Genomic DNA, 14,722 nt, shown 5'->3' with positions numbered 1-14,722 from the left:
AGCACTAAATGTCATCACTGGCTAATTGTAATCTCTAAGTCAATTAAGTACTTTTCACAGGCATTTCTTAGCTCAATCAAAATACTCAGCTCATGGAGATAGAATTAGCATGTTTTTTAAAAAACGGCATACAGCTTTCGGTTCATATTGCATAAGACATTTAATATGTGGGATCAGATTCTCATTCCAGGTAAATTCCTGGGAGGATTTTTTTTTAATTTTTTCAGGTTAAAAGTTAATCATGACTACGTTCCTAAATTTGTCAGACAGCATGACTAACAGGGCTTAAGAATCTGTATTAAATAAACCTCATTCTTTGTATCTAAAACACAAACTCAGAGGGGTTTTGAACTGGAATGACAGCTCCCTCTGCTTCTTTGCTCCTTCCAAACTTGCTCTGTCCCTGCTCCCGTTCCAGGTCACTGCTCAGCATACTAATGCCAAGCCTGCTTTTACCCTAAGTGCCTGTTTCGTATGCTGTCATATAGATACTGCTGGTTGGATCTCAGCCAGTGGAATTAAATGAAATGGTTTTCTGTCAGACTGAATACTAATTAAGTCTTCGTGCCAAAGCTAGGTCTGCATAATGACATCATTTGCAAGTAGGTTGGAGGTTGAAGCTCAAATAGAGTTTGCTCTGATATTTATATTTATGGACGCAAGCAAAATGGTGCTATGCTATTTAGCGTACCTGTTTTTTTTTTTTGTTTTTTTGTTTTTTTTTTTTCCTCCAAGAGAGATCTGGCTTTGAAAATCCAAAGTGGGCAAGATTGTGGATTAAGTAAATTTTTCATTGCCTAAATCAGTTTTTCTGAGCATTTCAAGCCCTCAGAACCATGAGTCACTTCCCTAGGGCGGCCTTTGGGACACAAACTTTATGTAGTGTCAAGGGCCTGAGATCCCCTCATACCTGCCTGGCATGATAATATATCTCTTTTATGAGGCAGTATAGTTCATACCTGTTAGTTCATACCCTTTTATCTCAAAAAGTATCTCATTTTGTGCATAAATTATTTTATTACCCCACCTAAACCCCAACCGTTTCTATAAATGGTCCACTCTTCTACTGCCTGCATGCACCTTGACCTAAACTGCCTGTCAGAAATAATAATGTATTTTAGTCTTCAAGCAAGGCTTATATATCTTGCAACATTTATTGTGCTCCATTAACTAAAAGACTAATAAATCCATGTTATAATAATAATGAGAGGAATCCCTCCAAGGGCTTCATTGTACTCTCTGTTGGGATTTTAACAGTGCCTTTCTATAAGGCTAACTTTACTCATGGGAACAAACAGCCAAAGAACAGAGTGAAGTTAAGGGAGGCCCGTTGGGAAGACAAAGCTTAGGTCAGGGGAAAGTATGTGATGTCTATTCAATTCGACACATACATATCACAGTCTTTTAGAGTTTAAGGCATCCTGCTAGATATATAAAGCATAGAAAGACTAGCATGTGAATCCTGCACTCTAGCATCTCATAATTATATGGAATTATGGAAGAAGATTCAGGCTAGCTGTATGTAGGTGTCATTTTTAAGTCAATCTGTATTAATAATTAGTTGTGTGACCTTGGCAAACAATTTTAACATACTGGACCTTGAATGATGGGAATATAATAAATGATCAGAGGTATCTACAGCCTCTACAATTATCTTATCTTCTTAGGCCATCATATATTACTATTGAAATAATTAAGTTCTAGAAATATTCAGTTATACAAGCATAATTGCTTCCAATTCTGTCAGAGAACAGCCACTATCCCTGAACATTATGGCATGTTCCATTGATTTTTAGAGTGGCCGTAGAAGTTAGGAACTCAAGATGCTGGTGACTTTTTAAATCTGAATATATGGCCTACAACTCGAGAGTGAGAGATATGTACTGCTTAATCTCTCACTCATTTTCCAAATGAGTGATCTGTGCTGCTTAATGTCCTTCATATGGCTTATATCTATGTTTAACTGAAAGGAAGTTTACATTCCTTTCCATGTTATTATGTAGCACAGTGGAAGCAATCAAGAAGCAACATGTAAATAGTCAAACAAGAAAATGTCAACAAGGTTCAAGGCTGTGAAATATACAATCTGAGGATGCTGGGGTCAAGTCTCCAGACCAGTGTTCCAGGCAGCCTAATGGCAATCCATCACTAACTCTTTTAACAAAAATGTATTTCTTATATTTGCTTTTAGCACTATAGTTGTAAGACATGACTCTAGGTGATCCCCCAGGAGTTGAAAAGACCTTTTTAAGTTCATGTTCTGATCCACCTAGGGAAAAAGCTCATCTTCATCTGCCAAAGACTTGTGCAGCTGTGTTAGACAAAAAAAAATCATGGAACATCATCACAAGGAGGTTGCAAACATACCAGTCAGTATCGTGTACTTGATTTGGTGTAATTGATTTTTTCTTATACTTCAGAGTTTTAACCCCTTAGGTTTCCTAGATTTCCTGAAAGACTGGCAAGATACTGACCGAGCTAATTAGCTCACTGGCCTCTCTATGAAGATGGTATGCACAATTGCATTTCATTCTGGTGTCCATGCCATAAAAGAAGTTTTTTAATTAAAGTATCACCAGAGAGGCTGGCCAACAAATAGGAAGCCAGGTCAAATGAGCAATGGTTCACTATCAAAAACTATACAAAAACATGATCACCAGCTTTAAATATTTTAAAACCCAACAAATGGAAAAAAGAAGTTCAATGTAAGAAAAATCTATCTGATCCTTTGTGCTGTCTCGTAATGACATAAACTCTTTGGGGAAACATGTTTTCCTACTGCTTCAAAATGAATTTAAGTTTTTATTCAAAGACAAATAAAATATTGGAAAGTTACATACTTTAAGTAAAGACAAGAATATTCAAGAAATAGTAGGTGTCTCATTATTTGAATTGTGATAAGTCTAGTGGCTCCATGATCACATGCCAGAGTGGTGTGGAAGGGAAGTCCAAGTGAAAGATTCAACTAAATAATGAAAAAGTCACTAAATGTTAATGTTATGAGTGAGTTAACATCTGGACCAAATATCTCACCCAAATGCAGAAAATCCTTTTTCAGTGATAATCAATACTGTTTTTAGTTGTCATTATCCTTTTTGGTCAGCACCTCCTGCCTGGGGCAGTCGATTCTGTTGAGGGATAACCAATTCAGATAGTTATTTAAAATGAGCTAAAATCTACCTGTGTTTAACAACTTTTCTTTATTCTGAGCTATAGAACCTCTGGAATGGCCCAGGTGAAACCTATTCCTTTTGGAGATCAGCTCTTTTTGTAACTGAAGACAGCGATTTTCCTGTGAATCTTCTCTTCTACAGTGGTTAAGAGATTGGGCTTTGAAGTGAAATAAAGTTGGGTTTGAATTCTATATTCACAACAAAACAGTTTTTGCTTTTACAATAGTTATTTAAATGTTCTGAGTCTGTTTCCTCAGTTTCAAATGTGGAAATAACATCTACCTAAACAGGTTATTGTGAACATTAAAGTAAGTAATGCAAATTAAGGACAGTAAATAAGTGTGGCATTTGGTCTATAATATATCTTCAATAAATTTTTCTTTCTCATTCTCTTCATGCCCAGATAGCTGTCATTTTTCTAAATGCCCTGTATTCTGGGTTCCTTATTATCATATCATATGCCACTAGGTCTATTAGAATTCTAAATTCTAGAGGAAATTAAATATTTTGTAAGCGAGATGCAGATATTTATGGCAATATTTTTCAAATCTATGTGACATGACACCTCTTTTTATAATAAATATTTTGCTATGCTGTCTTTACTATCTTCAAGATGCATTAGTAGAAATTTACCCAACCTAATAACTTCAAAAAATCAATATAATATCCTACATGTAATATAAACGAGACGTTTTTAAAAGGTAACATGTAACACATACTTCAATATATAAATGTTTGCACAAGGGTACAATGGTGTGCATAGTAAATAAAATAGATGATTACACTTATACATAAAATGTCCATTAATGCATCAACCTCAAACATAGGCCGATAAAGGTGTAAATGATATAGCAGTAACATAATTTTCTGAAATTATAAATAGCTCCTGGTAAAGTCCTAAACAAAACCTAAAGTATAATCTACCATTTCATACATAGTTGTATCCCTGGGAAATTCAACAAATTAATATCTTGCAAAAATACCTCAAGATTTTATGTTGCATGAAGTCACATGCTAAACTCAGATGATCATAAACGATTTTTACCTATAATAATATTCTTCAGGACATTTCAAGTTCACAAATATTGTAGAAGGGTTCTCTGGAATTTGTCCTAGTTTGTGCAATGTTTAGCATTGCTAGCCAGTAATACTCACAGTACAAAAAGCATTAAGACAATTTAAAAAAATACACCCATAAATTTTCAAAACATCTCCACTGAGAAGCACTGTTGTAAGGATTCCAGATATATCTGTTCTTCTATTCTTTATCTGGGCCAGTTCTTAGGAACAACTATAGAATCATTTTGGTGGTATACCTGGCAAGTTGTGAATTTTGAAGAAATGCCACTTCCTTCTGAAATGCCCTCATTTTTGTCCTTTTAAATAAGTTGTATCTATCTTATAAAGGTAATTTACATTAAAACTAAATTTAGTGTCCTATTTTTATTTTTGCTAAATTTCATTTTCTTTGCTTCAGCCCATCTTTTAGTCTATCATTTTGAATCCTGATTGTGGCATATCATATTATCTCTTTCTGGTTCTCATCATCTATACATTAGATAATGATCTCATCTATCTTTAAGCTACTACTGAAAATGAGGAATCAGATATTGTGAATAATGGAGCTTTGTGGAATTTTACTAACATTTCCTTTCAGGTTGACACAGTCCATTACACATCACCCTTATAATATTAAGTACAGAGCTTAAAGGGATCTGTGAGAGACATGGCCAATTTCTTTGCTGAAACTAAGATAAACTGGAACATAAGTTATTTCTCTTACGTCCCAAGTTACTGATGTTATCATCTACATCTAATTTTAGGGCAAAATGCTCAGCAAACATATGTTCGCCCTTAGTGGCAAAAATTCTCTTTTCTAAATTATTTCACATGCCATATTTTTATTATAGCTTTAAGAATTCTGACATAAATAAAAAACTGCAAATTGGGTTCAGTGTAAACTGCTTGGGTGATGGGTGCACCAAAGTCTCACAAATAACCACTAAAGAACTTACCCATGTAACCACCTGTTCCCCAAAGTCCTATGGAAATAAAAAAATAAAGAAAAATAAAAATAAACATAACTGAAAAAAAGAATTCTGACAGAAATATACAGTCTTAAAATTCTAATGTATTAGTTTATCTTCTATAACAGCGAGGCCCTGAAATCTCAGTGGTCTAAGGCAATAGAAGTGCATTCATTACTCAAACTGTGGTGAGGAGGAAGGACTCTGGGGTGGAAAGACTATCTTTAGTATATAGACAGGTTACCCTGTGTATTGATATACTTCCAATAAAGCAAGGGAAAAGAGAGGAGAAGGTTATATAGGAAGTGTTTATGAGTTAGGTTGGGAAAATGACATAAATCACTTCTGTCCACATTTTACTAGCTAGAACTCAACTTCAAGGAAGCCTTGAAAATATGATTTGACTGTCTGACTTGAAATAAGGGAAATAGGTTTGGATAAACTAATAGCAGTCTCTCTCAGTATCATCCTTAGACCTGGGCTAGGGTCCCCCTGCTCTGAGACCCCATGCTTCAGATGTCCACACATTTTGGAATGCCTTCCTGAAAATGTTCTAAGGCACTCTCCTGGGCCTTGGACTAACCAGGGACAGCAGTGTTTTCTTGGCAGCACACTTAGAGCCCAGACCTCGGCCATTGACAGTGTCCATCACTGGAAGCATCAAGCTTGACATTTCCTTGGTTCCACTCAAGTAACTGGAACCTGCTAAGGCTAGTAGTCCTTGCCAGGTGGGGTACCATGAGTCCACACCAGGAGTTGTGTGAGCTGCAATCTCCTTTTTCTCCCCTTCCAGATATTCTTTGACCCTCTACCTAGTTTTTGGTATTGACCAGATGCCGTAATGACCTCCAAGACTGGGGCCAGTGGAGTCCTCCTGGGGCCCTATGGCTGGATCCCAGTTCCACAAGGGTGATCTGTGCTCGCTGGCTGGTATGGTGTTTCTTTCATGGCATGGTGTGAGATGGGGCCACCAGAATGATGCTGACACACTTGTTTTAGATCACTTTTACCCAAAGAAGAAGGTACAACACGTTCAGGGCTTTGGGCTGCCAGTGATGTATTGTCAGCTCTTGAGTATGAGCCTCATGAGTGGGTCCCTGCATGGACTTTCACTCTTCTTTGTTGGTCTCAGTTCTGCCTCATGCCTACAGCATCTGAAGGAAACAGGGATGGCAGTAGCCAATATTTACTCTTGGGACCATCCCCATCAGTACCCAGGGAGACCACCCACACCCTCTACCAGTTCGGCACCATGTTCTAGGCAATCTCTCAGGGATATGGCACCTAATTCCTCAGAGGGCTTATGAGAAACTTACTCTGAAGTGCCAAAGTACCCTTCTTATTGATTTCTCTCTGTCTAATCAGTGTGGTGATATGGTGCTCTCCTGAGTCAGGCTTAAGCCACGCTATTTGAGGGATTCTTTACATGAATTCCTTATATGAATGAGGTCATTCTTCTTGCTTTGAACACTGGGTCCTTGTCTTTTCTTCCTACTAGTGACAGTGTGTGGAAGTTAGGGCTATAGACAACATTCTAGGAATGTAGCAATTACAGGCTGGAAAGTTGAAGAAAAGATGTGGTTGGAAATGTGTTATTTCATGCTTCAAATCACAAAGTTAACATGACCAGAAAATGAATTCTTATTCACATTTTCCTACATACTTTGGATAGTATTTATCTTTGTAATTAGGAACAATTAATCATAGTAACAACCTTTGAGTAAGTCATTGGAAACTAGCAATCATGGGTTACACAATGGAAGATGCAGCATCATTTGTAACAATATATCCAGCATTATATAAATGGTATTAGGGAATGGCAGAAGCAAGAACATCCATATTGTTTTCATACAATTCTTATAATTCAGCCAAACCAATTTGAATATGAATGGCATTCCTACCTTTTTCTGTCAGTGACAGATGTGAAATTAGTGAGGAATGATGCATTCAACAATATGAAGCATGAAAACAGCATTCCAGAACTTGGAAAAGAAGCAATGGTGTCTGGTCACTACAAAGAATCCTCAGAGGCAGATAGGACGATACACAAAGGTGTATGTGCATTTTTGATAGCTCACTGTACCACCCATGGGCCTGTAAATTTTGTAATTTTAATCAAATTGTTTATATAGACAGAGGCCCTGCAAAAAAAATTGTGTAAGCCTTGCATACCTGAAAAATAACGCTAGAATTGTAATATGTACTATCCAGTATTCAATAACTTCCCTGATTTTTCTAAATCTGTAAACCAATTTGACCTGTTGAAGAACTTTAAAGTTGGAGTGTCTTCTCCCTACCATGCTAAACAATCTTTTAAGTCCTATCCATCCCTACTCCAAAGGATATTTATGCCAACAACAGGACAAATCTCACCTTGATCCTCAACTCATTAGCCTCACTCACATGAGCATGCTTGTTCACCTGTTAAAACACTGAGTCTTATTTCTCTCTCTGAGCTGTCTTCCAACTACTCTCTCCTACTGGATACACATTGTCTGGAAAGTGCTAGCTAACCGATTTTCCCCCAAGATACTGGGAAATTTCTGATGCTGCATTCGACTTCCTTTTAAAATGTCCTGCCCACACTTCTCCTGGGTGGCTGATCTCACATTAGAAATGTTTTATCAGAATATGCCTTGTGATCCACACACTTTGCTGACCAACTCTTACCCTCTCTGAGCTATAAGTTTCTTAAGAGAAAGACTAGGTTTGATTCACCTTTGCATCTCCAGCACTTGGAGCAATGCCTAGAATTTTAAGACTTACTATTTTTCTTGCCATTCTCTATCCTTTGTGTTATCTTTGTCTCAGTTTGCATGTAACCCATGTCACACATTTCCGTGTATAATTGTATGAGCAAAATAAAAGCATATAAATAAGGAAAATCATATTATCAGTTGATTTTACAAAATATAAACCACATTTTCCCTTCTTTTGCTTCTTGCTTTTCTCAACCATCATCATAAAACTCCTCCCAGTCAACTAGCATTGTTTTAACTAATTCATAATGGCTGTCTGATATTTCTGATTTGGGTTTACCATAATTTACTCAGCCTTTCCCTGATTGAGGGAATTTAGCTCTTTTCTTTTCTTGTTTTTTCCTTTGCCAGTGTGTACAATGCCACTTTGTTTAAATGTCATTACATATAAAAATGTTTACTATAATTACATATATACCCAGCAATAGAATTGCTAAACCAAGTCTCATATTTTAACGGATGCTGCTGAATTCCTCTTAGAAAATCCTGCTAAAATTTACATTTATATTAGCAATACATGACAAGATAAATCATTTATCCTATATCCTGCCAGCAAAAAGGTATTATCATTCTCTCAAACATTTGCCAGTCTGGTACTCCTTGTTACTTTAAATTGTATTTTGCTGAGAAAAACTGAATTTGAGCATTTTTATGTGTTTATTGTATATTCAGATGTGTTATTTTATAAATTGTATAATCATACCCTTTACTTACTTTTTTCTATTGAGCTATTTGTCACTTTTGACAATTTATAAGGGTTCTTTGTATGTTATTACTATTAAATATTTGTCATCTTGCTAGAAACTATTTTTCATATCTAATATTTATCTATATACTTTGTTAAGGATATTTTTGATACCAAAAATATAATTTTATGTAGTCAAATATATCCATTTGCATTTTTAAACATTAAAAACAAATATTTTGTATGGCTTCAGTTGTCTTGTTTTGGTTAAGAAGTTATTTCCCAAGACTAGAGTACACTTATAGTCTCCATCTTTTCCTAAGATTTTGTTTTTTTTCAATTACATTTATAATCATTCATAATATATTTTTATGTAAAGAGAGGCATTTCATACTTAAAAAATAAGCTTTCTTTTTAGATAATAAAATTATATGATTCTTTACAAAAACAAAAATGAACATAAATATTTTACTACTAAATTATAGTCATGATTAATATTTTGGTGTACAACAAGAGATAAACATAGCTACTCAAAACATACACAGTTTCAGCATTGACACATACAGCATGATATATATCAATTGCACTGTATTGTGACTTTACATTACTTTAGAAGTAACACATGACAAACGTGGGAAAGTAAAAAACATGGAAAAATAAATACAGTAAAAGAATTGGAGCACTCAAACCCAACCCTCCAGTGATAAAACCTGTTATTTTAAAATTGATGTTGTTGTTGTTTCATGGAAAGTTTCAATCTGCTGTGCTTGGATTGCTTTTTATCTTTATGTTTAGATTTCAGAAATTTGGTAGCATGTGCCTAGTTATAGGTCTTCTTTTTACTGATATTGCCTGATAATTTTTATTCCTCTTTCTCTATTCTCAGAATCTAAAATACATTTAACTATATCTTTGGTTATTGATTTTATTATGTTAGTTCGTTCCTCAAAATATATATAATTGGATCATAAATCCAATTTTCTTTTGTTAGTGTAAATTTTCTTACACATCCTTTGTAATTATTTTCAAAACTTTGTCAATTCTGTTATATAATATATGAATTTATTTGTTCAGTGCCTAACTACCTATTCTGATAAATATTCTGATTCTGCTATTGTAGTTACAATTTTCTTGAAATTCTTATAATTTCACCTCAACTTCCTTTTCATTTTATTCTATAGTTTTTCATACATTCTGTTTACTTTTTGTTTAACTTAGTGTCTTTTGCAAGGGTAGGGGGAGCACAGGAAAGGATTCCACATTGTGTTGCATTTTATCAGCAATTCTACACACTGTTTTGTACAATTTTACCCAGACTCAAATATATATTGTTTTCAGTGTTTTATCTCCCTGTATTATAAATGTCTTCTGTTTAATATGATTTTATTGAGACATATCTTAAAATAAAAAAAGATTTGTCCAGATTCACAATTTTCCAGTTACATGACTAATTATCTGTCTTGTACAGTAGCTGGACCCTCTTCTCAGACAAACTTCTGAAGGACAAATTGCAACTCGCAAATAGCTCAACATCCAGCAGGCATTCATACAGTGTTCGCCCACTTGACTAAGGAGAAAATCTCTACAATGGTCACTGTCTGGCTGTCAGGAACTCCCAAAAGATGGAATATTACAATGAAACCAAACCACCATATACAATGTGTTCTGGGAACATTTTTTCTTTAACCTGTAAGAAGATTTATCTTCCCAGTATGCAATGAAGCCTATGTACCTTACCTCTAATATTGTTTCTTTCTAGAAGATTAGATGTTCTATTTCTTAAAGGTGCTTAAAGCACAATGACGTGAGAAAGGCAGAAAAAATCTTTCAGCTACTTCAGAAGGTCTGTACTTTATAAAATAGACATTCAAGTAGCTATCAAATTTATGGCCAGTAAAATTACGGCCCCTGTAATTCTGAGATAGCAATTAGAAAGAGAAAAAAAGGTATATTATTTAGCAACCTCCAAGCAATGATTGAGATTGCTGCTTTGAACAGGAGAGCACAAGTGAATCTTCAACTATAATTTTTCAACCCGGTCCTAATGATCTTGGATTTACTGGTAAATCTTCCTGCTGTGCAGCCACAACTTGACTGTCATTCTGAGTTTCTGTGAGTGGTGTGAGATTTTCTTTCTTCTCTATATATTTTGCTATTAGAGTCAGTTCAGAGAGTCCCCTTCAGGCTCCTCAACTCAGATGCCATTTTAATCCAGATTCCTATGATTTGGAATTAATCAACATTTTTCTAATCTTCCTTTTTTTTTCTGCTAGAGAAGACTGAAACAGACAAAAAGTGCATTCTCTCCATTGGAAGTTATGCCCTCTCAAGCAGCTGTTATGTGCATTTCCTAGTTGGAGTTTATAAGCCAGCATCTGGCTAATACTCATGCATTTGCTGAGATATTCTCTGAGCACCTCTGAGATATCAAGGACTTGTATCTAAGTTTGGAGGTGGAAAAAAATCACATAGTACCTTCTCTCATGGAATTGACAATAAATTATGGAAGACAATGGTTAAATACAATGAACACCCACACACATACCAATATGCATGCAGAGACATAAGAAGCGCCAACCTTGAGCAAAATCATTGTCTTCTGACTTTGGGCAAAACAGAAAATAAAGAGTATGGCTTAGCATGCAGTGTCTGCATCACTCTCCTTCTGTTCCCTATTGAACCTCCTCCTGATGTCTCAAGAAAACCATTTATCCTTAGTAAAATCCCTTCCTTTGTCTTTTCTTTTCAGATTCTTCTGGTGAAGAATGGCGGAGACTGCCTCTGTGGCAACCATTTATTTCTTCTGCCAATATTCCTTTCTGTATTCGTCACAAGTGGCTTAATGCATTCTCACTTATGCTTTCCCTGCAAGTAAGTCTCTATCGAATTGAACCTTCCCTGACCTGGAAAAGAGAGGGCAACTGCTCCTAGTCTTATAGTTGTCACCTTTTGGAAGATCTTATCACCTACCAGGTAACCATTTCTCACATGGAATGGGTTTGTCCTGTATTATAATAGTTCCTCCCCTTTTTCTAAACATAAGTTTAAAATCACCATATGATATATTTGAAAACCATTTACTTTGAAATTTTTTCTTCCTGACACTGACCCATGACTAAAACTATATGTGTACAAATGTGTGGCTTTTTGAGATTTTCTTTATCAATTTTTCCAACTTACATTCACGTATTTTATAAATCTGATATAATTGGAAAATACCTTATATAAATCCACTAACTTGTTAGATCACCCCATTTTTTCATCACTATGACTGTACAAAGATATTTGTCTTATAGAATCTGTCTACACTCCTTAATTACGTTCTTTTAGCATTTCTGGCCTTAAGATGATGCCTATGCTTTTCTCTAAAATTTTATATCAAACCTGCTCAAAGCTACCATCTTAAGCCTAAATAATATTTACTGTTGAAGTTCAGAAATGTCTGAATATATCTGCTGAATTACTGAAGGCAGACAGCCAGGAATTCATCTGAATGAAAATGGAGCCAGACAAACTTTACCGGGCTGTAAAATCCTAGTTGTTACAAGATAGAAACATTGTGGAATGTGGCTGGATAATTACTGAGAAGTTGTTGCCTTATTGCCTCATGATTTTGTCCTTGTGGGACACAAAGAGCTGCAGGTAAATAATGGAAGGAAAGATAGAGTAATTTTCCTAACTGAGAGGAAAAGACAAAGTGGGTACAAAGGATTATGAGCTCATTGTTTTGGTTAACGAAAAGTGGAAAGGGAAGACAAAGAAATTTCCTCCATTTTTATCACTGAATACTTTTGGTATCTCAAGGGCCTGTTGGCAGTGCAGAAGCAGAAGCAGAAGCAGGACCAAATGCATAAGAGCAGTATCAGGTTAAAAAATGGAAACCTGGCATGACAGGGTCTGCTGTGTACTACTCAGGTGATAAGGTGATATCTTCCAGACGTAACAGCAGTACCAGTAGACACCATACTGTGAAAGACTGGATTTGTTTCTGAAAGCATGTGAATATAACATAGAACATCAAAAAGTAGCTGCATGTATGGTGGGGATTTAGTAATAAGGTTCCATTAATCAGGATGGGTTAAGTTACACGGAACTATCATAACAACTATAAATGTTCAGTGGTTTAACCCAGCAAATGGATGTTTCTCACTCATAGAAAATGTGTAGTGGGTCTAGACAGGTTCTCCAGGCAAGTCAGTGATCTGGGCTAATGCAGTCTCCAGCTTCCTCTAGTTGCAACCTCAGTTAATGAAGTTGAAAAAGAGAACCTGGAAACTATACATTGACAAAGTCTTCAGCCTGGCAGTGACAGACATCTCTGGTTAGGACTCATGATATGACCCCCAACCAATCACAGTTGTCCCCTTCTTAAACTAGAAAGTATGAAGCACTAATAAGGTCTAAAACAGAGGTCTGGATCTTACATGAGTAGATGGTTAAAAATTTACTGAAATTTGGGTTATGAAACTTAACATTATACAATTTGTACCCACAGGCTGGTAAGGTCAGGAGAAGCTCTGTGTGTGCATGTAAGTAATTTCTGCTTGTAAAAGTGCTAGATGTAATTATAAACTCTACATCAGTGCTTCTCGATCACAGGCAGTTTTCCCCTCTGGGGGACATTTGGCAATGCTTGGAGATACTTTTGGTTATACTACTGGCACCTAATGGGTGAAGGCCAGAAATGTTGATAAACATTCTACAATGCACAGAACAGTCCCATAACAAAATCTGTATATATATATATATATATTTGGTCTATATATACACATATAGACCAAAATGTCAATAGTGCTGAGGTTAAGAAAAGCTGTTATACAACAATGAAACTGCACAATGAAGTTGTAGCTGAGGCACAAGTTTGGAGAACTTATCCTTTGAGAATAGAAATCTAACTTCCAAGACACAGTAGAAACCTTTAGTCAATGATTGTTATACAGTGCTGTGTCCCCAGTAAGCAGCATGCATAGGTTCAGGAACAAAGAGCAGAAGTAGATGTGGCTGTACTAACTTCCCAGTAATCTACTCACAAAACTTGTATTTCCCTTTTCCATAACTCTAAGCTTTGTGGGTCTAGTTTTCAGTATTCCGCTGTCTAACTGTGAAGGCAAATGACAAGTGCAGTAACCACTGACCAAGAAGGGCATGGTAACCAAAGATTCAGACCCCTCAAGGTGTCACCACCAGGGAAGTCACCAAGACCAGCAGCGGTATTTTCTCAGGATGGTGGCAATCCAGAGTGAGTAGTGTAGGAGGGAAATGGTGAACATCAGTTACTTTTGGAAACCAGCTACAGTAGTTGTGGCTTTTCCAACTAATCTTCTTCCTTTATATTTCCCCAGGAAAATAGACTAATAAACCTTCACTACAACATGTTTTCATTTCTCTAGGATATATGCCTAGAAGTAGAATGGCTGAGCCATTGGTAAATAGAGGTTTATCTTTCTGAAGAACTGCCCAACTATTCTCCAAGAAGCTACAGCATTTTACATTCCTACTTGGAGCATACGAAGGATCTAATTACTTACCAAAACACTATTGTCCATCTTGTTGATACAGCCATCATATTGGCTATGAATTGATATCTTATGCTTTACATTTCCCAAATTGGTATTGATTTGAGCATCTTTTTATTTATTTCTTGAAATATTGGCTTATATACTTTGTCCATTTTTAATTGTTTTTTTTTTTAATCATTGAGTTGTAAGAGTCTCTATATATTCAGGATGCAAGTATGTTGTCAGATTACATAATTTTTCAAATATTTTCTCCCATTCTGTGATTGTCTATACTCAAAAAATTTGACCATATTAAAAAATTAATTAAAAATAAATAATACACCTATATATGAGCTAAGTATGTAAAGAGCAATCAAAATTAAATCCTTTATTTAAATTTAATTAGGGTTAATTAAATATAATTAAATTAGGGTTGTACAATAATTTCTTAAGTATGACAATAAAACACAAATGACAAAATATAAAATAGATGGAACATTATTAACAATAAAACTTTTGTTATGCAAATGATACTATCAAGAAAGTAAAAAAGCAGGCCACACAATGGGAGAAAATACAT

At 35.5% G+C, this 14,722-nt stretch overlaps 1 annotated feature.

Moving 5' to 3' along the window:
- Nucleotides 5,355-5,555: a silencer, noted in NCBI's record as "peak6762 fragment used in MPRA reporter construct". NCBI's record gives its function as "represses an SCP1 promoter by STARR-seq MPRAs in K562 erythroleukemia cells {active_cell/tissue: K562}" and the evidence as "EXISTENCE:reporter gene assay evidence [ECO:0000049][PMID:32103011]".

Source organism: Homo sapiens, chromosome 7, assembly GCF_000001405.40.
Source record: "Homo sapiens chromosome 7, GRCh38.p14 Primary Assembly".
Taxonomy (NCBI): domain Eukaryota; kingdom Metazoa; phylum Chordata; class Mammalia; order Primates; family Hominidae; genus Homo; species Homo sapiens.
This window is presented reverse-complemented; position numbering and strand designations above follow the sequence as displayed.